We start from the raw sequence: 26,103 nt of genomic DNA, 5'->3' as shown, positions 1-26,103 counted from the left end.
TGCACACATACTGCCTGAATTATTATTTCTAATTATCCTCTTAATGGGATAGTTTGGTGTCAATGTATTATATAGAGATCCTGGGTTGTAGAGTCAGTCATTTCAATGACCAAATTCCAGATCTGTTGCCTAAGACCTTTACTACCTTGAGAAATTTTCTTAATCGTTCTAAACTCCAATTACCCTATCTCAGAAAAGAAGAAACTACGTCTTCTCGCACCAGATTATTGTGAGAATTATATGTCATTATTATTATATTTACTAATGAGTTCATTATTGTGAGTTTCAGTTGAAGCAATTCATTTTAAACATAAATCAGTGTCAATGAAAATATGCTGATAAAGGGATTATGTAGGACTTAATGACACATTTTATTATCCATGTTTATATTTAATTCGTTAACCTTCTTTTTTTACATTTTTTTTTCCTAGTGAGGTTATCTATTTTCTACAGCATTCTAAATAACGTCTTCAACAAAGACAGTCACCAGCTAATGGCACAAGGTCATGCATGCCATTTTTATAATTATTAGAATGAAAGAAGTAGCCTCAAAGTCATGTTTCAAAGTAACCAAAACACTGAAATCTTCACAGGAATTCATATGTCAAAACCCAGTGGTGTCCCTGGATGCTAGGTGTTCAAGAAGTATCTGAAAGCAACTACAAAACTTTTAATGGTTCACTTCTCACCATGTTTCCCTGAGTCACTTCCCATGATTGGTGGGAGTTCATCAGTCCGTGTATCTTCCAACAGGAATCTCAATAACAATAATAATGAAAATTTGGAAGCTTGGAGTGTGGGTTAGACTTCAAAGAAAAGAAAAAAAATGTTGAAAGAATGGAGAAAAGGTTTAGTTTCCAATCTTTTAAAACAATCAGACAGCTGGTGAAAGAAAGCAGCTGATTTTGAAACATGAGACTACAAAGAAAAAGCAAGAACTACAGAGCTAACACATCAGGCGAGAGCTTTACTTCTATGTCTTAACAGAATGTGCATATTTTCTCCTACTCATAATCCAAAATCTTAGTGTTTTTTCCTTATTAATTTATCTAGGTGCAGCACTTGGACAGAGTCATGAAGCCAGAGCGACATTTAAAATAACATCCGGAGTTACATATAATCCTAATTTGCAAGACAAACTCTCAGTGGATTTCAAAGTTCTTGCTTTTGACCTTCAGCAAATGGTAGGAGACTGACAGCTGGTTTCAAATTTTATAACACAGTTTAACTACTTGCTGAAAACACCATTTTCTCACTGTGAAACAACTAGAGAATAAATGTAATATGCCCAAGATACTCAAATGTATGAGCCCCATTACTATGGAGAAAATTGCCCCAACTCTAAGCAGAACATAAAGATTGCTTTGTATAAATTTTTCAACAAAAGTTAAAATCCTAAATTTAGTATACTCATTCAATCTTTTATATTTTTCTAGATAGATGAGATCTTTCTATCAAGCAATCTGAAGAATGAATATAAGAACTCAAGAGTTTTACAATTTGAGTGAGTATAGCTCAAAAATTTTCTACTGATGGAAAATTAGTGATTTTTTTGCTAATATTTGTAAAATAGCATCACTATATATAGGAAAAGAGGAATATTTAAATTTTTCAACATTTTTTGAGGATTAAGCAAAGTGGCACAGCATAAACTTTCATTTTAGTAGCGAATAATAATAACTTTTGATAATTGATCTTATGTTAATATGTTTCTCTCTACTGACAATAAAATCTTGCAGAGACACATGGAGAGGGTACAGATGCAGATATAGTATTTGACTTGCTACGAACATTTGGAAAAAGCTTGCTTGTCATTTAATAAAATAATATTGTATCACCCTGCTTCATTTATACTATAAATACCTAGAGAGAAGGTACTTGTCCACTGTGTACCCAGAGGGCATAAGATTGCTTAAAGTAAAGTAGGTGCTCAATAAACTAACGAATCTTAGATTAATAATGTAATGATGTAATTCCACACTATGAATGTTTGAATCTGTAACATATGGAAATTATGGAAATTTTGTAAGAACTATTTTCTTATTTCTATTGTAAGATCTATTTTCTAAACAATTAGCTTTTGTATTTGTCACAAAAAAAATTGACCTGTGTGTTGTTGTTGCTGTTGTATCATGAAGGAGAGTTTGACAATCTTGCTGACATCTCTCTGAACCTAAAGTTTTCTAAACTACAAACTACCAAAGGGCTTTTGGAATAGAGATACAAGTCAACTGGAAAGTTAAAAATACATGTAATATAAAAGAAAGAAAAATGTAAATTTATAAAATTAAGTTAAAAATGAAAAAGACAAAGGGAGAGGATTCCAAGAAAAAAAAGTTAAAGACTGATCAAGACCTGGGGTAGCTGAAAAAGGGAAGAGAGCAAAGCCTTCACAATAATTCACATTTAAAAAGCACAGAAAGAAAGACAATATTCCAGAAGGTTAGGTAAAACAGAGATCCTATGACAAGCTGGCAAAAAGGAAACTCACTGGTTGAATCTCTATTTCAGGCCAAGCCTTTTGTGACTTAAGATAGATAGATAGATAGATAGATAGATAGATAGATAGATAGACAGACAGACAGACAGATTTTTTTTTTTTTTTTTTTGAGACAGAGTCTCATTCTGTCGCCCAGGCTGGAGTGCACTGGCGTGATCTCAGCTCACTGCAAGCTCCACCTCCCAGGTTCACGCCATTCTCCTGCCTCAGCCTCCCGAGTAGCTGAGACTACAGGTGCCCGCCACCATACCCGGCTAATTTTTTGTATTTTTAGTAGAGATGCTGTTTCACCATGTTAGCCAAGATCGTCTCGATCTCCTGACCTCGTGATCCGCCCACCTCGGCCTCCCAAAGTGCTGGGATTACAGGCATGAGCCACAGCGCCCAGCTGTAAGATGTATTTTCTTATTCACTCCTCACCAAATGACTGTGAGGGAGATGCAATTATTCCGCCTTAAATAACTACGACACCGAGGCTTGGAAAAATAACTTGCCTCAAATCACACAGCTAGTAGGTGTTGGGGAATGTGTTTGAATGGAGTTTTGTTGTTCTGATTCAGCATGTGCTCTCCTTTCATATGAGAATGTTAGAGTAGCAGAGCCCACAGAATATAACAACTTCTAGGGAGGGTGGGTTTGCTTTTCACCATAGATGGGTGGGCTCAAGATGCAATGGAAAAGGAAACTTCTCTTTTTCTACAGAAATAAGAAGGATGACAGTAAATCTGGAACAGGAAGGAGAACAATGAAAGCCAAGATGAGCATGGAGAAAAACATCTAAGTAAGCTAGACTGATGGCAATATTCTTTAGTTACAGCTGGCCATCTTCCATACTCCTTTACCGTGAGAGTAAGTAAGTCTTAGTTTTTAAGCAGCTGCTGCACTGCAGTTGAAGGTAGCTGAAAGCTCCAAGCCCACAATTTGAAATGAAAGCACAATGTACAAGCTCAATAGCAGAGGACAACAGCCTCCCTATGGGTTTTCAAGACACTGCGACCTATAAAACCTGAATATTAATTTTACTTTTATTCATGTATTATTTATTATATTCCAGGGCCTTAAAATTACATATTTTTTGTGCTTTTGTGCAGCTGACAGTCTGATAGAAATTATTACAGTTTTCTTGTCTACATTGTCCATTGATATTTAAGGTTTATGTCTTCAATTAGATAAATAATAAGGCATCATAATAACACTAAAAAAATTCAGATGTTTTACATTTTGCTCCCTAAAAATTACATTATTTTTGAAAAGGTTAAGATACTTTAGCCCTGTTTTTAAAAAGAAAAATGGCAAGTATATATGGACTGATGGTGTTCCTGGTGTACCAATTCATTTAGCAAACTAAATACTCAGTACTAATCAGAAGATCACCACAAGCTTGTCAATTTGTTCTTCTGTGTACCATTACTACCATGTACTTGTGTATGTCACCTAATGCTTTCCTCACTAGGGGTTTGTGAAGTTTTAGATTATCAGTCTGTCGTGAATTATTAATGTGTGGTTCAGAGAGGCTAGGTTACTTTTCCAATGTCAAGCTGCCATTAGTCTGTCTGTCTAAAACATTCATGCTGTCCTCTACTACTAATTTTTATATTAAAAAAGTACTCAAGACAGAGTGAAGCAATGAAAGTTAAGGCTAAAGAGTCACATATTCAGGAATTGTCCAAGCAGTGTTTGCTGTATGTTTCTCAGTGGCTACTCTCCCTCTGGGTGCCTTATTTTGTTCATTTGCTAAATGGCCATAGACCTTTTTCCACGCAAGCCCTGTGCTTCCACCTTTAGTTTTCCTTGTTCTCCACTCTGATTTTTAAAGTTGTGTAGGTTAAAGTGTTCGTTAACTTTATGGGAAAACTGATGGGATAATCTATACTCAGACTAGGGTAAACAGTACCTAAGTTTACAATCTTTTTATTCTCTTATTTTTTTCCTTTTTAATGGTTATGCATGTGTTACTCTTCTATGAATTGACAATGCTAGTTGCTGGAGTTAGCATATAGAAAAATACTCAGAAAGTCAGAGTGGAATGAGTTAAACGAGTGGAGAAATAGCCTTTATAAGAATCCGTCACTGGATTTAAAGGTGTACTGATCTATCCAGAAGTCTATAAGGGGCTTTTTTATCATTTAGATTGTAATACTGTTATAATTTAGTAGGAATGTGTTTTTTTTTCATAATGACCTCATTGTTGTTTTAGTAAAAACTGGAGGCAAGCTGAAAATGAGGTAGAGTCTACAGTATCTCTGTACAGTTTATATGGTTCATGGATACATCAAAAGTATCAAAAGTAAGTGTGTGTTTGTGTGTATGTGAGAGAAAGAGAGAGAGACAGAGAGAGAGAGAGAGAGACAGAGAGAGAGAGAGAGAATGCCATACATGAAGATTTAAACATCTGTTTGGTTAGAATGAAAATTATCATTATTTACTTTTTCTTTACCTCCTCCTGAAAAATGACACATTTTTTTTGTTTCATCTGAGGCTTTTAAAATCAGTTCTTCAAATGTGATATGATAGAAACTAAGTTACCTTGTAGTTTCTGTAATCTTTAGAAAGCAGAATTTTCCTTATCTTCCCAAAATAATCTTCAGTTTATTCAGGGTTAATATCCCTAAAATTCTATGAGAGATACAGCATGCTTTGAAATACAACATAAATTGCTAACTTAAAATCCCCCTATAGTAGAATAAAGATAAAGATGAAAATATAAAATATTGTTCTGTGCTTTGCACAAGGGGAGGGTAGAATCACTAAAAAGAGTACTTCAAAAAATAGGCAAAACATATATTAAAGAGATACTGGAAAACTGAAGCAAATATTTTTATCCTGTCAACATAGAGTTAAATAAATGTTCAGGTAGTCATCCATTCATTTGCTCGCTTATGTACTTAACACACATATAGGGCTTACTTAGAAACAGACATTTAACTAGGTTCTGAGAATACAGATATTAAGAGAAAGTCTTTTATTAAAGAGCTCATTCAACCACTATCATTAAGACATTTTAATTTGTATTGGTATATTTAGAACTGGTTTTCTCTCTCTCTGTTTTGATAGGCTATTTGGTTTTTAATTGCCTACTTACAAAGGGCACCTTTGGGTTAAGTGACTAATTTATAACAGACATTAATAATAAATTAGGCATGAGTAATTTATGTGATGATTAAGGTATAAAATCTCTGCTGTGAGGAATTTAAAATATTGTTGGGGAGATATGACAGAGTCAAGAAATTTTTACTAACGTTATTAGGCATTACATGTCAGGTTGTATATACAGTTTGTGTGATAGTGCAAGAAAAATTTTTTTCTTTTCTTGTGTAGTCTAGCCTTTGCTTGACTGCTTTGAGCTGGAATGCTCACAGACTAAAGAAAATTCATTCTAGTCCAACAAAAGAAAGAGATTCATACTGCTTAAATTTAATTTTCTCATGTAATGTGACTAACAAAAATTAGGAATCTTTTTTCAATATTGCTGTGGACATCCTACAAACAGCCTATTAAATAATCATGATTATTAGTATATTTTGTTTATTATTTATAACTTTAGGTACTAGAACATGCTTTATTATTATCACCAAATTATTTCTTTCTTTGATTTTCATCCACTGATCCTGCTTGTAGTTACTAGTTTTTTAGAGAATAAATGTCTCTCCATCTTCATATCTCACTCCTTAAATACCTAAAGACTTTTTCTAGTGCTATCATACTAAATGCAGGTGTACTGCATGGCTCTGTCACCAAAACACACTCTGGCCTTCTGTTTCTCCTCCCCAACTCGACACAGCGTTCTGCCTCAGTCCTGCCACATCATCTGTACACCCTCAAAACCATCCTGCTTTCTCTCTTTTATCTATGTTTTCGTTACTGGGTGATATGGCTCTGTGTCCCCACTCAAATCTCATCTCAAGTTGTAATCCCGACATGTTGAGGGAGGGACCTGGTGGGAGGTGATTGGAATGGGGGCAGTTTCTCCCATGCTGTTCTTATGATAGTGGATGAGTTCTCATGAGATCTGATGGTTTTATAAGTGGCAGTTTCCCCCACTCTCTCTCTTTCCTGCCACCTTGTGAAGAAAGTACTTGCTGCTTCTTCACCTTCTGCCATGATTTTAAGTTTCCTGAGGCCTCCCCAGTCATGCAGAACTGTGAGTCAATTAAACTTCCTTCCTTTATAAATTACCCAGTTTTGAGTAGTATCTTTATAGCAGTGTGAAAAAAGACTAATTGGCACCAGGAATGGGGTACTGCCATAAAGATAACCGAAAATGTGGAAGTGACATTGGAACTGGGTAACAGGCAGAGGTTGGAGTAGTTTGGAGAACTCAGAAGAAGACGGGAAGGAGTCTTCTCAGAGACTTGTTGAATGGATTTGACCAAAATGCTAAGAGTGATATGGACGATGAAGTCCAGGTTGAGGTGATCTCAGATGGAGATCAGGAACTTATTGGAAAAGGGACCAAAGGTTATTCTTACTATCCTTTAACAAAGAGATTGGCAGCATTTTGCCCCTGCCCTAGAGATCTGTGGAATTTTGAACTTGAGAGTGATGATTTAAGGTATCTGGCAGGAGAAATTTCTAAACAGCAAAATTTTCAACAGGTGACAGAGTATAAAAGTTTGGAAAATTTGCAGGCTAACTATGTGGCAGAAAGAAAAACCCATTTCCTGGGGACAAATTGAAGCCAGCTACAGAAATTTGCATAAGTAATGAGGAGTCAAATGTTATTCGCCAAGACAATGGTGAACATGTCTCCGTGGCATGTCAGAGTTCTTCATAGCAGGACCTCCCATCACAGGCCTGGAGGCCTAGGAGGAAAAATGGTTTGTGGATGGGGCCCAGGACCCCACTGCTGTGTACAGCCTTGGGGCTTGGTGCCCTGCGTCCCAGCCACTCCAGCTCCAGCCATGGCTAAAAGGGCCCAGTGTACAGGTCAGGCCATTGCTTAAGAGGGTGCAAGCTCTACACTTTGGCAACTTCCACGTGGGCCCGCAGGTACACAGAAGTCAAGAATTAAAGTTTGGGAACCTCTGCCTAGATTTCAGAGGATGTATGGAAACATCTGGATATGTAGGCAGAAGTCTGCTGCAGGGGCAGAACTCTCATGGAGAACTTCTGCTAGAGCAGTGCAGAAGGAAAATGTGTGGCTAGAGCCCCCACACAGAGTCCCCCCTGGGCTGACTCTGGAGAAGACAGCCACCGTCCTCCAGACCACAGAATGGTAGATCCACTGACATCTCACACCGTGTGCCTGGAAAAACTGCAGACACTCAATGCCAGCTGTGAAAGCAGCCAGTGGGGGTAGGGGAGCTGTATGCTTCAAAGCCACTAGGGTGGAGCTGCCCAAGACCGTCAGAGCCCACCCCTTGCATTAGCATGCCGTGGATGTGAGACATGGAGTCAAAGGAGATTATTTTGGAGCTTTAAGATTTAATGACTGCCCTGCTGGATTTTGGAGTTGCATGGGGCCTGTAGCCCCTTTGTTTTGTCCAAATTTTTTTCCATTTGGAATGGTAGCATTTATTCAGTGCTTGTAACCCCTTTGTATCTTGGAAGTAATGAACTTGTTTTTGATTTTACATACTCATAGGCAGAAGAGCCTTGTCTAGTCTCAGATGAGACTTTGGACTTTGGACTTTTGAATTAATGCTGAAATGAGTTAAAACTTTGAGGGACTGTTGGGAAGGCATGATTGTGTTCTGAAATGTGAGGGCATGAGATTTGGGAGGGGCCTGAAGCAGAATGATATGGTTTGGCTCTGTGTCCCCACACAAATCTCATCTCCAATTGTAATCCCTACATGTTGAGAGAGGTACCTGGTGTGAGGTGATTGGGTCATGAAGGCAGTTTCCCACATGCTGTTCTCATGACAGTGTGTGAGTTCTTATGAGATCTGATGGTTTCATAAGGGCTTCTTCCCCCTTCACACTCTTCTCTCTTCTGCCACCACGTGAAGAAGGTCCTTGCTTCCCCTTAGGCTTCCAACCTGATTGTAAGTTTCTGAGGCCTCCCCAGCCATGTGGAACTGTAAGCCAATTAAACTTCTTTATTTTATAAATTACCCAGTCTCAGGTATTTCTTTATAGTAGTGTAAAAATGGATTAATATACTGGCACTCTCATTTTCTCTCCTTATTATTGCATCCTTTCTTATATTCCATCCTCACAACCCATTAAGAACCAGTCCATGTCGCCTTCCCTGGGACACTTAACTGACACTCTAGTCTGGTTTAGGTACTTCTTCCCCCTGTGCATTTAGCACCATGTATCTACATTTAAAGTACAATTCTCACACTATAGCATAATTGTTGATTTGTCTATCTCCTTACTAGGCTAGGAGCTCTCTTAGGGCAGAGAATGTATCTTTGATACCTGTATTTTCAGAACCTAACTAATGCCCACCACAGCATATGTATTCTATAAAGTCTTAGCAAATGAATGAAAAATTATTTAGCAGCTGTTATTAACATAATGAATATTATGTTAGAGGTTATCATTTTTTCATTTAATCTTCATCCTATTAATATTATGTTAGAGATTAGCATCTTTTCATTTAATCTTCATCCTATGGCTATAAAAATAATTATACAGTTACCATGGCTTTAACTTTTTGTTACAAGAAATAAACTAACTTGAGAATTCTTAAATAGTTCTCCAAAAGCACAGGCATGTTACTGTGTGAAGGAGTCCCTTGACTTGAAAGGGTGGGTCATGGAAAGTTTTATGAAAAATGTGGGACAGTGTCTGAAAGGCATAGATAGGGACTACTTGAGTGGAGAAGACAAGGAAAGCCATTTCGGATAAAGATAAAAAATAACGTAGCATGTTGAGGATATAATAGAGCTGGCATTGAGGGCTACTAAGAAGATGTTGAGACATCATGAATGTGCTAAATATAAACCTAAGAGTGTGACAATGAACTCGTGCCAAATTAAAGTCATAGGGGACTGGTAGGACATTGGAGATACACAGTGAGCCTGACTTTATAGAAAGGTTAGTCTCACATCTCAGGTAAGGAACAACTGAATCAAAGATCCTAAGGACAAAATAATTGGTATCGGATCATCACAAAAGTTCTGACATCAGTAACAGAATCCTTAGTTTTAGTGACCAAAAAGAGGTAGGAAAGTCAAATCAAAGGTAAAAGAGATTATGCTTAGAAAAACAATGGCAGAAGGTCAAATGAAGCTTATTTAATGGTCAAAAGAAACCTCAGTGCCTTCCCATCTCCTGTTGGAACAAAACCTGATGAACATAGACTTTTATATATAGGCCTGGTAGGCTATGAAAATCGCAGAATTTTTCTTTGATATTTAGTAAATAATCTTTTATTTCTCTAAGTGGCAAATTCACTATATTTAAAATTGTAAATTATTTGAGTTTAGGAATTATTTCTTTCCCCTCTTTATAACTACCAAGGAGGCCAGTACAGTGCTCAAACCTTGATAAATATTTTATAATGATTCTCAAATAATATACTTCATCAGTGTAGAGATGGTTTCCCCTGGTGGTAGCTGTGCTACTATTAAATCAGAGGTGAATTTTTAATCTTATCAAATACAGACACAATGAAAGCTTTATCTTTTTATGCAAAAAGGTTTAATCTTCCTCCCTTCCTTCCTTCCTTCCTTAATTTACTTCTTCCTTCCCTCCCTGCCTCCCTCCCTCCTTTCTTTTTTTCTTTTCTTTCTTTCCTTCCTTCCTTCTTTCCTTTCTTTCTTTTTCTTTTCTTTCTCTTGTCTTTCTTTCCTTCCTTCCATCTTTCTTTCTTTCTCTTTCTCTTTTTTTCTTCTTTCTTTCTTTCTCTTGTCTTTATTTTCTTTATTTCCTTATCTATCATATCATTCTTTACTCTATTGCATATTTCTGACATCTTAATCCCAGGAGCTGCCCCTACACCCATCTGCTGTCTTCCTTCCTACCTACAGTACATAGTCCCTTCCCTCTGTTTCCAGAGTGTATAATCTCTTAGCCTCTTTCATTGGTCCAATATCAGAACTAAAAGGAGAAACACAGACATGCAGGAAAGGTTAATTATTTTAACTTTTTCAAAATGCTAATAAAAATGCGTACTTAGTCTTTATTTTGTGAGTGTAACATTACACGGGAAAGTTTTATTTTTTGTTGGTTCACTTTAAGCTATTTGTCTACGTTGTGGTGAATGAAACGAATTTCTCTTTTCTAGTTTTGTAGAGGATTGAGTCTGGAGAGCTGCAGTAAAGCATCAATTCAGATTTATTTCCAAAAGGCTTTAACCTCCTTTAAGGAGAGGTATTCTAGGTGCCTGCCTCTCTTGAATTGGGCTTTGCCTAGTGAAATCCATACAGAAAGCACAGTGTCCATTGCAGAGTTTATCAGAATAGTTTTGCTAATGGAACCCTTTATGTTTACATGTCTACAACATGCTGGATAACTTCACTTACATTAGGTTGGGAAAATTTGATGAATATAGACTTTTATATATAGGCCTGGTGGGCTACCAAAATCCCAAATTTTTCTGATATTTAGTAAGTAATCTTTTATTTCTCTAGATGACAAAATCACCACATATGAAACTGTAAATTATTTGAGCTTAGGGATTGTTTGTTTCCCCTCCTTTATAGCTACCTAGGAGGCCAGTACCGTGCCCAGACCTTGACAAATATTTTATAATGACTGTCAAATAATGTACTTCATCAGTGTAGAGATACTTCCCTCTGGTGGTAGCTGAGCTGCCATTAAATCAGAAGTGAGTTTTTGAAAAGTGCAATGCAAAGGAATTTCATAAAAACGTCTGTTAGATAAATCACATTGTTGCTCTTTTGGGAGACCTAGAAGAGGAGGATAGAAAAAGGAAATCAGGAGCAGGAGAGAGAGTAACAATGAAACACTTAGGATTACTTTACCTTAAATAATCACCTACAAATATACGTATTCCACTCATAGGAAACAGTAGAAGACTCATTATTAACTTTATAAATTATTTTAATTTAAAAATCCAATTGATAAAATCAGAAACAGAAATAACTGAGTTCTCACCTAACAGTACCTACGTCAACTGTATATCTATAAATCCTTTAAAATACCTATTTACATTTTTGTTATAGATTTTAATTAAACTCACACCATGTATGTGTATATGATCAAATTCTAGCACTCCAATACTAGATTTAGTCATTGAACTATTTTCTCTTACTTTCACAATATTTAATGCCAATCTCTGCCACTTACTAACTTGTATGATTTTGGGGTGTGTGTGCGTGTGTGTGTGTGTGTGTGTGTGTGTGTGTGTGTGTGTATGTGTGTGTGTGTGTAGCTACTCTTCAGGGTAAGCCAATGGTTTGGTCTATTTGGGGAATACTTTCATTCATTCTGCTTTGTGGAAAGTGCTTTCACCAGAACATTTAGCATTTGATTATTTTAATAAAGAACTATTTACCCTTTGTGGCAACATGCAGTTTCTTTTGCCCTTTGAGCACAGATAAGCCACAAAGTTAGGAAAGGAAAGACTTGTTTACTCAGCAGCCCTAAAGGTTACCAATATCATTAAGGAATATATGAGATAACTAATATTTTGCTCTATTATACTCAAGCTTTCTGTACCATAGTAGGATTTCTCTGCCTTAGAGAAAAACTGTTATTTTACAAGGACTAGTACTTTGAAATGAAAATGGTCATTTTTTTTAACCTAAAGGAAGAATTCTCATTTCATTACTAAACAACTAAACAGCTTCAGCTTTCTTATGAGGTGAATCACAAATGATTATTACAACTTTTTTTATTTCTGCTTTATCTCTCTCATCTCAACATTTCCACTAAATAAGAAAATAAATTTTAAAGGCTACAACTTTATGTGGATATAGGATATGCAACTCCTATCCTTGCAAAGTATAAATTATTAAATGTAATGCATAATTCACAACTAAGAGAACACACCTTTCAAAGAAAAATGTTTTATGCCTGAGGATGAACTAATCCAGTTACTTTCAACTCAGTGAAGCAAAATTCCAGATTTGTATTTTCTTTGCCCAAAATACCTTACCTCTTTTACTCCGTAACTCAAATAAAATGAAAGCAAGTGTTCAGTCAAATTGAACCGGTGAAATTACATAGAAATAAAACAGATTTAATCAGAATTTAAGTTTTCTGGTCTGCAACCAAAGATAAAATGAAGATGGGGGATTGGAGAGAGAGAAAATAATTAATATTGTTCACTCTCACTTCATTTTAACCACAATCAATCCTGTCCATTTAACTATCTTGGAAAGTGAGGTTGATTAGGAAGACATAATGTAAAAAAGAAAAAGGAGTAGGAGGAAAAGAAGAAGGAAGAAGAGGAGGAGGAAAAAAGGCAGTGCTCTATCTTTTGGAAGTATTGCAGAAATAAATATCTTTCCCTTCTCCCCAAAAATATCCAACCAGCTGTTTTTTTCATCTATTTGTATATAAAATTCTGCTAACTATGCAACAGAATAAAATACCTGGACATGCCTTTAGGGTAAATGTGCTGTAGCCTCTTTCCTGCTGATAAATAGTTCAGAATAGAATTGATAAAAGTGTTGTTGAGTGTGGGGGGATGGGAATTATATAAAAACACATTAGGGAAACAGATTCCCTAGGTTTCTTTTCTATCTCTGACACTAATAAGCTGTATAACCCTAGGCAAAGTTACCTACATTACTCTAAGCCTCAGTGTCCTCATTGCTAAAATGAAAATATTGGCCAATATTCAGCTTCAAAAATAGAGTAATTACCTTCTGTTCATATAAACATGGAATAGGGGCTGACAGTTGTATGCTTGTTAGAATTTTCAAAATTCCCATTAACAGAATGCATGACTAAAAGTGCCTTAAAAATAAGTGTTTATTGGCCAGGCATGGTGGCTCATGCCTGTAATCCCAGCACTTTGGGAGGCCAAGGCAGGAGGATCATGAGGTCAGGAGATCGAGACCATCCTGGCCAACATGGTGAAACCCCATCTCTATTAAAAATACAAAAAATTAGGTGGGCATGGTGTCGGGCACCTGTAGTCCCAGCTACTCAGGAGGCTAAGGCAGGAGAATTGCTTGAACCCGGGAGGCGAAGGTTGCAGTGAGCGGAGATCGTGCCGCTGCACTCCAGCCTGGCCCCAGAGAGAGACTCCATCTCAAAAAAAAAAAGTGTTTATTATCTGACATCACAAGAAATCTAGAGGTTTTAAAGGAAGTTAATTCAGTAGTACAATGACAATGACATAGTCAGGGCTTTGGGTACTTTCCTTCTTCTGCTACGCTATCTTTGGCTTATCAACCATGGCCTCACTCATGGTCTCAAGGTAGATGTGGCAGTTTCAGCAAATTATGTAGACCTAATAATGTTCAACAACGAAGGGTGGTAATCTACTGTGAGCTGTTCTTTTATTAGATATAAAAAAGTTTTCCAGAAGTTTCCATTAGTCTTCCCTTCAGATTCTGTTGACCAAGGCCAGGTAATACACCCACGAATAAAACCATGTTTGGTATAAAGAATGGTTAAAGAAGATGCCACCTTTCCTAAAAAAAATGGAGGCTTATTCTCCAGTAAAATTAGGGGTTAGCCAGCCAGCACAAGTGTGGAAAAGTAGATGAAAGGTAGTGTCTGTGACGAAATGTATCATTACCAAGGACAACAGTGATTTCATGTATGGGTAAGTTTGGGAAACCCTGAACTAAACAGTTACTAGGGAACCTTCTCATTTACAAGATTTGGCTACTATAATTTAAGCAAATGATTAGAAAGTTAAACCTTCTATCATTTTATATAATTTATTTAATACATGTGAATTATAAAAATATTATATCAAAAATATTATATCATCTTGTTCATTTTAAAAATGAAAGACCAGCTTCCTGGAAATGAATTACTGTGAAACTGAATAGTGCCATGGACACGAAGAAGGAATATACTCCCCCTAGTGGAGATGCTGATCTACTGTGATCTTTCAGGAATATTCTAGTTCTATATCCAGTCATGGAAGAAAAAATAACATTTACTGTAGGTTCTATCAAGATAGATAGATGGAGAGATAAATAAAGAATTCTACTGGACTTGAGAAAATCCTTCAACAAGCTCATAAACTTACATATATCACAAGAATATATAACTCCCATAATTCAAAACCAGCAAACATATCATGCAAAATTTAGTTTGCCCTAGTCTGTGTCTTAAGCAGCCAAGTATACCGTGAGTGCCTAGAGTTTATTGAGGGGTATAGAATAAATATCAGAGCTATAGTTTGTCTCCCAAGTGGTCATACCCTAAAATGATAGCATATGGCAAATAGAAATGTAAGCAGGAGGGCAAAAATCTCCCAAGTATCCCTATTCACCAAAAATTTATTCATTTTTCTCTTTCTTTACACTGAAAAAAAGTTACCTTTTAAAATGCATGGTACAGAGCAGGGGATAAAATCAAGGGGGAAGATGATTAGGGCTATATGGCTGAACTCTAATGCTATGTTTGGAGATCATGCAGGCAAGACAATCCCGACTCATGGACCTGAGATTGAATTTCTTGTGAATCCCTAATAGACCCAGATACCCTTGTTTTCTTTCTATCCCTTGAAATCAGGGCATATTTTGATATTTTATATTAAGCAAAATAGAGAAGAAGAGGGAGATATAGATTAGTTGCCATAAGCTTGCTATCAGGCCTTTTAAAACTATGTAGAAAAATTTTCTTTGAAACCAGTGAAACTACCTTAGATTTCCCCCAACTTAGAAATTATCCATGAAAAACTACAAATCCATACCCTTCTTTTCTCCAAACAGTAAAATCAGAGTAAGTGCAAAGAGACCACGTGATTTTAACACAAGGGTCTCAGGAACATCCTGGCCTGGGGATGAGTACTTGAACGTGGAACTCAGAAAACTCAGATTTCAATTTTGCATCTACTTTGGAGTTTCTCTTCTCAAAAAAGCATTTAGTCTTTCAATTCACTTTTTCTTTCCCTCATGAAATAAAGATAAGATTTGAAGTGACTACCTTACACAGGTATAATGAGAATTAGCAAGATGATAACTATAGAGAATTTCAAAGACATTTAACATGAATTGAACACAAATCAGTGGAAGATGGCTGACTTTTTCCTCTTATATCCTCTTTTGCTTTGCAGAAATGGCAGCATTATAGTCGTATTTGACCTTTTCTTTGCCCAGTGGGTGTCAGATGAAAATGTAAAAGAAGAACTGATTCAAGGCCTTGAAGCAAATAAATCCAGCCAACTGGTCACTTTCCATATTGATTTGAACAGCGTTGATATCCTAGGTATGTGTGAACATTATTTGATTTCTTTGAATCATTAAGCTATGAAATTAAAATTCTAGCAATATACCAGGGAGGAAGTGGAATCATGCTTGACCTTAGGAACATGTCTTATTGCCTGAGGTGACACATTTACATGAGAAAAGTGAAATCTGAAGAAACCGCATTTGAAGAAACTTATCAATGAGAAAAAGTTTATAAAATACCAAATATCAAGGAGATTCTGAGAGTGTTGGCATGCACAGAAGTTTGTGGGTATTATGCATTCCAAGGAGATTCTGAGAGTGTTGGCATGCACAGAAGTTTGTGGGTCTTATGCATTCCAAGGAGATTCTGAGAGTGTTGGCATGCACAGAAGTTTGTGGGTCTTATGCATTCCAAGGAGATTCTGAGAGTGTTGGCATGCACAGAAGTTTGTGGGTCTTATGCATTCCAAGGAGATTCTGAGAGTGTTGGCATGCACAGAAGTTTGTGGGTCTTACGCATTCTTTGCACCGTTCAAGCACACCCTGACTTCAGGAACTCTCTCTAGACATTGTTAGATTGTAAAATCCAGTGGCAAGGTCCGATTTCTAATTGAGGAGCTAAAAAAAGAAGAAAAAAGTAGAGTCAATGAGTTTGATCCCTTCCAGTTACCTATTTATAAAAATTAAGTATTAATTTTTAAAATGATAAATAATTTTAACATAAGAATAAACCAAAAAAGAAGAAATATGGAACATCAAAAATAATAAAAAATACGATTGTAAATGCTTAGATTGTTCCAAATTTTCCATTCTAATTATCCTTCATTCAATTCAATTCAACAAACACAGTGTCCTTATTGAGTATTGTTGAGAACAGTAGTAATTTGCCAAGGTCATCCAGATTCAATCCCTTACCCATAAACCTTGGGACCAAATACATTTTGGAATTCAGAAATTTTTGGATGTTAGAAAGTTAGCCAATACATAAATATCTACACCGAGGGGAATAAAGAGAAACTCTAAATAGCCTAACTATTTAATTAGTTCAACTAATTTTTGCTACAAAATGAGATCAATCGGTATGTTTGCCTCTAAATCAAATACATAAAAACATCCAGGAGTTTTCTTTGTTTATTTTCTAATAGTAGATATGAGATTGTAGATCTCTAGTTGCTTCTCTTCAGAGCATTGTTTCATCAAGCATAGTTTCCTCTTTGATTGAGTCTCCTGCAACATGTTGCAGCTGCTGTTCAGCAAGAAGATAAATTCTTAGTCCTTCCTCTACTGATGGTTTGGACGCATGTCACAGCTGTTTGAGCAGAGACTGTCTATTTTAAATCTTTGATTCAGATGAGCTGAAAACTACTACTGGCTATTATTAGCTAGAACAGGTGGTTTATCTATCAACATTTTTACTCTCTACATTAATCCTCTTATGTGATGTCATTACTATCCCCCAATCAGGGAGAAGACCAAAACACAGATACTTTTGGTAAATGGCCTTTTTCACACAGTCATTTAGACTTAGGCATTCTGACCTCTGTGGTCTGATCCTAATGTCTGCCCTCTTAACCTTTATACTAGTTTGTTTGTAATGTTTTTATCTTTGAACAATTTTAGTTGATTTTTTTCATAGTCATTTTTCTTTTTTGGCATGGAAAAATGAATATTTTCATTTTTTATTTTTTAACTTTTCAGGGTACATATACAGGTTTGTTATATAGGTAAACTTGTGTCATGGGAGTTTGTTGTATAGATTATTTTATCACCCAGTTATTAAGCCTAGCACCTGTTAGTTATTTCTCCTCATTCTCTGCCTCCTCCCACCGCCCATCCTCCAACAGGCCCCAAAGTTGTCATCTTACTATCTCTATTTGAATGTGCATTGGTTTCTGATGGTCTGTTCTGGCAAGCAAATTGACAGATATGCTGAAACTTTTTTTCACGATTTCCTATATTTGGATCATCTGGGGGAAGAGAGTTTGTGATTTTTAAAATTAAATGTTTATTCAATGAAACCATATCCTTTGAGTTAATTTAGAATTAGTATCACAAATGTAATAAACTGTTTTACAACATCAGCCCAAGAATATTCTCAACAAGTAGAAGTTACATTTAACTTGTTGAATTGTGTTAAAACACATTTATAAACACGGTACCAAGTTAATTGTAGGTATTTCAGTTTAATATCCATTTGTATCATGTGAATTTTCAAATTTATAGTTTTAAATTTAGTTAAGAATTACATAGATATCTTGAAGTTGTGTATAATACACTGTCAAACATAAAAAATTTAACCATATTATTTATGAAAAGTCACATAAATTTTATTTTATCTTCAGTGTCAACACTCTACCATGTATCATTTACAAAACTTCAATAGGTTTTATAGAACCAACACAATTCAAAAATGATGAAATGCTGAAATAAACCACCTAGTTAGTAGAAACGAATATACTTCTTAGCCCACTTATCATCAATATAGTCTTGAATAAAAACAAATTCACCACATGACTTTTCATGAGATATGCTTTGATTTCCTTTATATCTTGCATAGGTGAGTCTATCCTTTTAAAACTATCAAACATGTTAAAGTTTGAAGAAAATTGCCAGCTTTTGTCTTCTATGTGCAAAGCACTTTTTACTTATATACCACTTAGTTCCAAGGAAATATTCATTATGTGAAAGATTGTTTTGCAATTGTTACCTTCATATGTTTTAGTGTAAAACAAGTGGTTCTAGGTATGCCAAGATGTGGCGTATCATGTTATATTAGTTGGCTCAAATGTAAATTATTCTATAGAACTATGATTAATAAACGGATATCTTTCTTAAATAGATATAAAATAAAGCAAACTTTTTGCATAAGTAAACTGCATAGAGAGAATATGCAGACTCTGGAAATTTATCAAATGTATTACAACCAAATAATGAATAGGAAGGCTTAGCATGGCAGAGGATAAAATAGGAACTCCAAAGGATCAGATGCCCTTTGAATGAATATTCAAGGTGTACTCAATGTTTTGTAATGTATTTATATCATAAACTCATGTGTTAAATCAACTTTACGTTATTCCAGCATCTTTGGAGAATTTTTCTACAGTAAGCCCTGCAACAACTTCAGGTCAGTGTTTATGGCACTTTTAAAAATACAACTTAGTGATCATCAAACTCTATCACCTAGGAAAATATACATTTTTTTCTTGCAGCTATTTCTGAGGCATTCAGTCTTCATATCAAGTTGTAAGAAGCTTATATTGGTTAGGAATAACATAATTCGTAATATTACAATGTTCCTAATGCCTCATCACTTATGCCAAGGATATACATTTCCAATTTCAATGTTCCTTTCATATTTTAAACTTTATATACAAATATATATGAGAGATATATGAGTGTGTGTGTGTTACATATGAGAGATATATGAGTGTGTGTGTTACATATGAGAGATATATGAGTGTGTGTGTGTGTGTGTGTGTGTGTGTGTGTGTGTGTGACATCTCCATAAACGGCTCCAAATCATGGTGCCTTGGTGATGAAGCTATGGCACTTGGGAGGTCACTAAGGGTGAGATAAAGAAAGACCACTTTCAGAATATATTTCACTTTGGAAAGGAGAATTCAGACTTTATGTTAACTACTCTATTCCAGCATTTTCTTCATCCCATCTTTCAAGCTACAATTTCAAACTTCATAATTATGAAACTATGAAGATATTACTTTTGGTATAGTAATCATGACAATTTTTATAAGACTTGAAGTCTTATTTTTTAAGGCATCCTCTTTAGCCAGGTACTATATTTTACAAACATGACCTATTTCAATTATCAGAATGATTTTGTAGAGAGGTCGTAATACTTTTCTATTTGAAAGAATAAATTAAATAATAAGTAACATGCCCAGGGTCACACAGGTACTAAGTGTCAAACTCAGAAATCAAAAGCAATTCCTCCTGATTCCAAAGCCCATGGTCTAAGCATATCCCACGCTTCTCTTTCATATAACATCAAATTAACCTGGAACATTTACGTCTATGGTCATTATGAGATTAATGAATCCTCGCATTTAGTTATTGATCATTGAATAACCTTGTCTTCTTTAGTTAGAAAATAAAAGAGGAGTTAAAAATCTAAAAACCTCTGTGCTACAACTCTAAAAATCATCAAAAACATAAAAGATTTATTTTTAAATCCAAATACAAATGACATACTTCTAAATGGACACTAATAATGCGTAATAACTTTTAAAATTCTTAGGTTAATTATTATACAGAATGAATATACAATAAATTCCTGGTAATTAGTTTAAAATAGGTAATAATTATTTTAATATAATTTATTTTTCAGACAAGCTAACAACCACCAGTCATCTGGCAACTCCAGGTCAGTTTTAATAATATTATTATTATTTTTTGAAAGAAAGTTTTCTCTTATACATTTTATTTTAGGCCCCTGAGAAGTCTCTGGTGCCTTAGCAATAAATATTGTGCCTATTTTATAGACAAGAAATCAAGAGCATAAAAGTCTGCAGTTTTAGCCCTGGATTTCACCACAGTAAACAACATATTTAGGGCTAATGCCTGAGTTCTCAGATTTCACTTTTATCCTCTGTCTATTATTAACAGAACTGTGATTACCTGTTGATAAGAATATCACCAGTAGTATCAAAAGGTTTCAACTAAGGAAGCAGATTTTATCAGATATTAGGGATTTTTTTTCCTTTGATTATTATCTCTGCATACAAGTTAGACATGCTTGCTTTCTCCTGTTAACACAGCACTTGTGGCCAAAGCAGAACCAAAGTAGCCTTGGATTCATTCATTCATTCAGGAATTTTTTTTAAGTATCTACTTTGTGCCAACTCTCAGTATGTATCTTTGGTGTGCCAATTTCTCTGTATTTCTAGGAATTGTCTGCTGTGCTTCTGTCAATCAGCTAAAATACCTTCTCTGGTCATAACTTAATCTTCATATAAAATGTCCTGGGTGTGTCACTAATCCCTTTAAGTAAATTCAATAAAGGCAATATTGTAGATCTTCAGTCAGCTCCCAACAATATCACTACCATGTTATATTATTAAAATTTACATCAAATATTATGTACATAGAGGGAAAACATTTGTAAAATTATAAAAGCCATTCTTGGCAAGGATAAAGGATTCTTGCATAAAAATTGTTGGTGTAATATTTGAAAAGCAAAGCAATACATGAATCAATCAAAATGCTTTAGGAAACAAGCCATCACAATTCTAAAACCCACAAAGGTCTGTTATGATAGAATAAGCCTTTCTGCAGTTGTATTTAGGTTATATCCAAACAGCACCACAACATATTGACAAAAAACAAAAGAAAGCCTGCCACTGAGCCCACATTCCTGTCTCTAACATGGAAAATTATTTACAGCCTCTCAAATCCCCTTCCAACACACTTTTGAACAAATGCTTTTGGGATTGATAATGGTTAATTCTTTTGGTTTAAAAATAAACTGAATAAGTAAGCTAAATATATTTTGAAAAATGTGCTCCTAAAACCTTGAAAGCCAGTAACAAGTATCCAAATTAATGCCATTTTTCTATTTGTTTATTGGTTCATCAAATGATTAATCTAATTCAAAGTCATTAAGGCCCTCTTAGTTGTATAAAATGTCCTAATAGTAATATGTACAATGAATTAGGTAGAAACAGTGTTTCAAATAAAGCCAGAAAGCACTGGACTTAAAAGAAGGTTTTCTCCTTTACTATTCTGAAGACATACCTGTTAAAAGTATAAAGAATTGGCTGAAACATCTGCCCAATTTTCTCTGGACAAAGAAGGAAATGATGAATGAGGGGTCAGAGAGCATGGGAAAGTATGCCACCCATATTTTTCTCTCCTGATGAGTGGAGCAGAAATCTTCTCTTCTACACGTAAACTACAGAAATGGGGGGCAGTGTACACTTAGCCCTGTCTTTCACATTATGTATAATTGATAGTGAAAATAAAGATCAACAAGTAACATACATTCTCAATCACTAAAAAGACGTGGGTGAATTCACGCATTACCTAATTTCAACAATCAGTCTATATGTATTTGGCAAGCTATCTAGCCTATTTGAACTTTATATTTATTATCTGAAAAGGAGATTAAAATATATTTCTTAGGGGATGATCATGAGAATTGAAAGAGAGATAATACAGATACCACTGTACCATCGTCAACATGGTGACTCCCACTGAGAAGGAGCAGGAGGAACAATGCCAATATTAGATCCCTACTCCTTCCCCCTTCTGAGTTTGATGAAACAGAATTGAACAAAACAACTATTTGGATACTTTCTTTAAAAGATTCATAAAAAACCCTAAATTTAAAACACGATTATTATACTGGGTAATGCTCATTTTGATCTGAACTTTTATTTCTCCAAAAAAACTTTGTTTCTAAACATTCTCCGTTATCAGAGACTGTATTGGATTACCTTAATCAATTCTCAAACTATTATTATAAGGTAAGTAGGTGGTGAAATATCATATTCTTTTTCTTATTAGTGAATCCATGTACTACATAAATGCCCAGTCATCCTTGCCGTTTATTCCTCTCATACGGCAAGATACTATGTATTTATAGAAGGGAACGAGGCAATTAAACATGAAAACTGCATTTTCCAAGCAGTAATTTACTATGAATATGCCTTTCAGGGATGTTAAGTTTATTCTCATTTTTATATGCCTGGAAGACAGAGTTTGAGAAAAATCAACAGATGCATGCATCATATACCTGATATTAGTGCCGTTATAAATTCTGCCAAAGAGAATTTTTTGTGATAACGGTACAAAGTCCATGAGGATTATGCTCTATCATTCAGCTGCTTTTGTTGCCAATTACTTTTAAGCTTTACTAACCCACTTAGAACACTAGAGGAGAAGGACTGGAACTGAGGTGACATTACACGGATTAATTTCTGGAGTGCTACAGCGTGCCTAGAGGGGGTGTTTTGGCAATTGCTCCCGTGTTTGAGGGATTTCTACACTACAGCTTGTTCTAGTCCTTTACTGTTACTTACAGCAATAGCCGCAGAAAACAAAAGTTTCACTGTCATGGGCTTTCTCAATCTCATAAAAAATGTAATCTTGCTACCATTCCACTATGTGAAAGAGTTTGAGAATTGGAGGAAAAGAATAACTGGTTGATTTAGTGAAAAACATGAAATTGGGCCAAAACAACTCAAGGTAGAATTATTTTCCTCGATTTAATTACTTCAAGACTGAGATGCAGAGATTTTACCTGATACCAAAGGTATTGTGACTTTAGGAATCGTTCTTTTTCTGCATTTGAGAAAAGAATATTTATATATTGCTAAGCACTCTCCTCTAATTTAAGACGTTCCTACTCACATGGTATCAAGACTACTAAAGAATCTTTCTACCAATAATTTCATTTGGATTGAAAAGACATAGTCTTGCTTACAATAAAATTTAAAAAAAAAAAACTAGATTTGTTCTACACAGTAAATGAGAATTTCTGTAAGGTGATATCTATTTTCCAATATAACATAGTGAAATAACACTGGCCTCTAAAGGCAAACATTCATGGATGAAGATTCTGCTTTTCCTATTGAGTAAGCTATCAGGATCTTGAGCTTAATTTGTCTTAACCAGTTTTGGCCACCAAGTACTATTATCCCTTTTCAAATTGTAGGGACAATAAAAATCTATGATTTCCAAACCATGGTTTCAATTTACTCATGTTGTATGTAACATCTCTTACAAATTATTTGGAAGGCGAAAAATAATGGATTTTAGTCTTTTTACTCTCCATGATGCCTAGCACAGAGCCTGCTCTCCGTAGGCACAGGAGGTTCCTAATGTCAAATCACTGGAAATTTTTTGGACATTGGATCACTCTGAAATAATCATCTTTGAGTGTATACCGAATTCTTCATGTTACAATACAAATGAATAATTAAAGCCTATTTGCAGAATTCCAAGTAATACTAATCTACTGGTGTGTTTTCATAATATGTCAAAAGTTAGTGTCCTGAAGGTAAAATACCACATAGATTACAGAAAACAAGTGCACTTTTTCCCACTGAGTTAATAATGCCTAATATGAAGGAAATTTGATTAGCTTTTAATAAATGAAACCAATTATTATTCTCTTCATTTACTTTTCTTTAACTAGAATTGATAAACTCCTTTCCTAAAAATTTTCTGTTGGGAACACAATTTGGTACAGACTTCTTAGAAAAAAAGAAATATTAGAACAAAAATTAAGTAATGAAATACAAACCAAGTAATACTGAAGTCAATAATTCTAGTTTGAGAGTGCAAAACCATTTAAATTAAACTGGCATCTGGCTGGGTATAACAGCTAATGTTTTAATTGATGATTTTTCTTAGAAATTGTAATAATATATATTCATGTAGGAAATGAAAGAGTGAGAGAAGACTCAGTAAAAATACAATTTGACAAAAATTTTAAAACTCACTACCATTGCATAAGAATCACATTCATATTTTTCATACTAGTTTTAATACAGAAAACTTCTGTTTCCTCATGGACCAAGTCAGTTGAAGAATGTTTATGAAATAGTTTGGAGAGAGACAGAGTGCAACTTAAAACAATACCTAATATTCCAACTTAAATTCAAAATACTTCCAACTAGACTCAAGTTTCTAACCCCACAATTTGTTCATCTCATAATCACTATTGCGACTAATGGCCATTAGTAACCCAAATGGCCTTTTCAGTAATTCAACTGCCAATTCCTTAGCATCCCATTCTTCACCTCCACTAATCTTGTTCAGAAGCAAACGTAGTCACTGAAGCTCATCAATTTTACCTGTAAAGTAGTAATTGAGTCCATGTCCCATCTCCTCTGCCATTGTGAGAGTTCTAGCCCTCATCTTTCATGTGGACCATTGAAACTGCTTCTCGAGTGGTCTTATTCAAGTGGTGTTTCACATGGTCCAACAATTGCCTTTATGAAACATGGACTGGTCATATTGCAGATATATGTAAAATCTTCCAATGCCATCACCTATTGAAAAGTATTTCTAACACTTAACAAAGATAAAAAGGTTTCCTAGAATCTGGTACCAAACTGCCTTCCTACTATGCCTTCCATAAACATCCCACCATCTATGTTAGTGAGACTCATCTGTTTCTCATATATTGATGTACTCTTTTTTTTTTTTTTTTTTTTTTTTTGAGACGGAGTCTCGCTCTGTCGCCCAGGCCGGACTGCGGACTGCAGTGGCGCAATCTCGGCTCACTGCAAGCTCCGCTTCCCGGGTTCACGCCATTCTCCTGCCTCAGCCTCCCGAGTAGCTGGGACTACAGGCGCCCGCCACCGCGCCCGGCTAATTTTTTGTATTTTTAGTAGAGACGGGGTTTCACCTTGTTAGCCAGGATGGTCTCGATCTCCTGACCTCATGATCCACCCGCCTCGGCCTCCCAAAGTGCTGGGATTACAGGCGTGAGCCACCGCGCCCGGCCTATTGATGTACTCTTCACACATCACTAAATACATTCCATATCTCTCTCCTCCTGGTGCCTTTCTAGGTGTACATCAAAAACTAATTGAAATATGACCATTTCTGTAAAAATGTCTTTAATTCTTGCCTTAGAAGGAAACTAATTGCTTAAACTTTGATGCCCCCATAGCACTTTTTAAATCTCTCTTTAAAATATAATTTGTACATAAACAATTTCCCCCCACTTAACTTGAAGCTTCATAAAAAGAGAGAGGCTCTGCCTTACTCATTCTTTTATCTCTGTCTCTTAAAATTCCATGACAAAAATGTGTACAAAATAAATACTTGTGGGGTCAATAAATGATTAATCATGAGATCAGTCAAGTCCAAGTGGTATGACTTGCTGGTGTGGTTTTGGGGTCTAATCAAGAGTTCAACAGATACTGAACAGAGATGTGATACATCAGGAAGTGGAGCTCCCATGAGAAGCATTAGGACAGCCAAAGTGATATATGTTCCTAGCTGTATCCCAAATTCATCTTTGAAATGCTGAATACTTGGAATTCTATTAGCTACTTGTAAAATAAGACACAGTTTTAAGTATAGTGCTTTATTTGGTTTATTTATTTATAAAGCATGTATGAGATTCTATGAAATATGTGTTTTCTGGATTAATAACTCAATGGTTAAGGACTTTTGATGAATAGCTCTTAAATATCAACAAATATATGCATTTGAGTTTATTAAATAATATTTTTATTATTATTTATTATTCTCCTACATGGGAGTACTCTATCATTTGAGAATGGCTTTGATCTTTACTCTGTCCTATAATTTTAGATGTTGGGCGTTCCATGAATTTCCCATTGGTTTATATTCATTTTAATTACAGCCAGTTACAAATGTCTAATTTAGTTGTATGTAGACTCAGCAA

General features: G+C 35.3%; 1 protein-coding gene across 8 annotated transcripts in view; it reads left to right on the top strand.

Annotated features, from left to right (window-relative positions):
* The window catches only part of TMPRSS15 (transmembrane serine protease 15), a 216,769-nt gene that overhangs the window by 86,502 nt on the left and 104,164 nt on the right, over nt 1–26,103 (top strand). For 4 of the 8 annotated variants that reach the window (NM_001428056.1, XM_047440912.1, XM_011529655.2 and 1 more), the window contains 6 exons: nt 1,054–1,184; nt 1,437–1,504; nt 4,698–4,787; nt 15,605–15,756; nt 18,799–18,843; nt 20,065–20,100. In NM_001428056.1, coding sequence (NP_001414985.1) covers nt 1,054–1,184; nt 1,437–1,504; nt 4,698–4,787; nt 15,605–15,756; nt 18,799–18,843; nt 20,065–20,100 — 522 coding nt within the window. The remainder of the gene's footprint in view (nt 1–1,053; nt 1,185–1,436; nt 1,505–4,697; nt 4,788–15,604; nt 15,757–18,798; nt 18,844–20,064; nt 20,101–26,103) is intronic. The other 4 variants (NM_001428057.1, XM_047440913.1, NM_002772.3 and 1 more) reach the window with 2 other exon arrangements.

This window comes from Homo sapiens, chromosome 21 (genome assembly GCF_000001405.40).
Source record: "Homo sapiens chromosome 21, GRCh38.p14 Primary Assembly".
In the NCBI taxonomy this organism is placed as follows: Eukaryota; Metazoa; Chordata; class Mammalia; order Primates; family Hominidae; genus Homo; species Homo sapiens.
The sequence above is the reverse complement of the archived record's forward strand: the minus strand, read 5'-3'. Positions and strand labels throughout refer to the sequence as shown.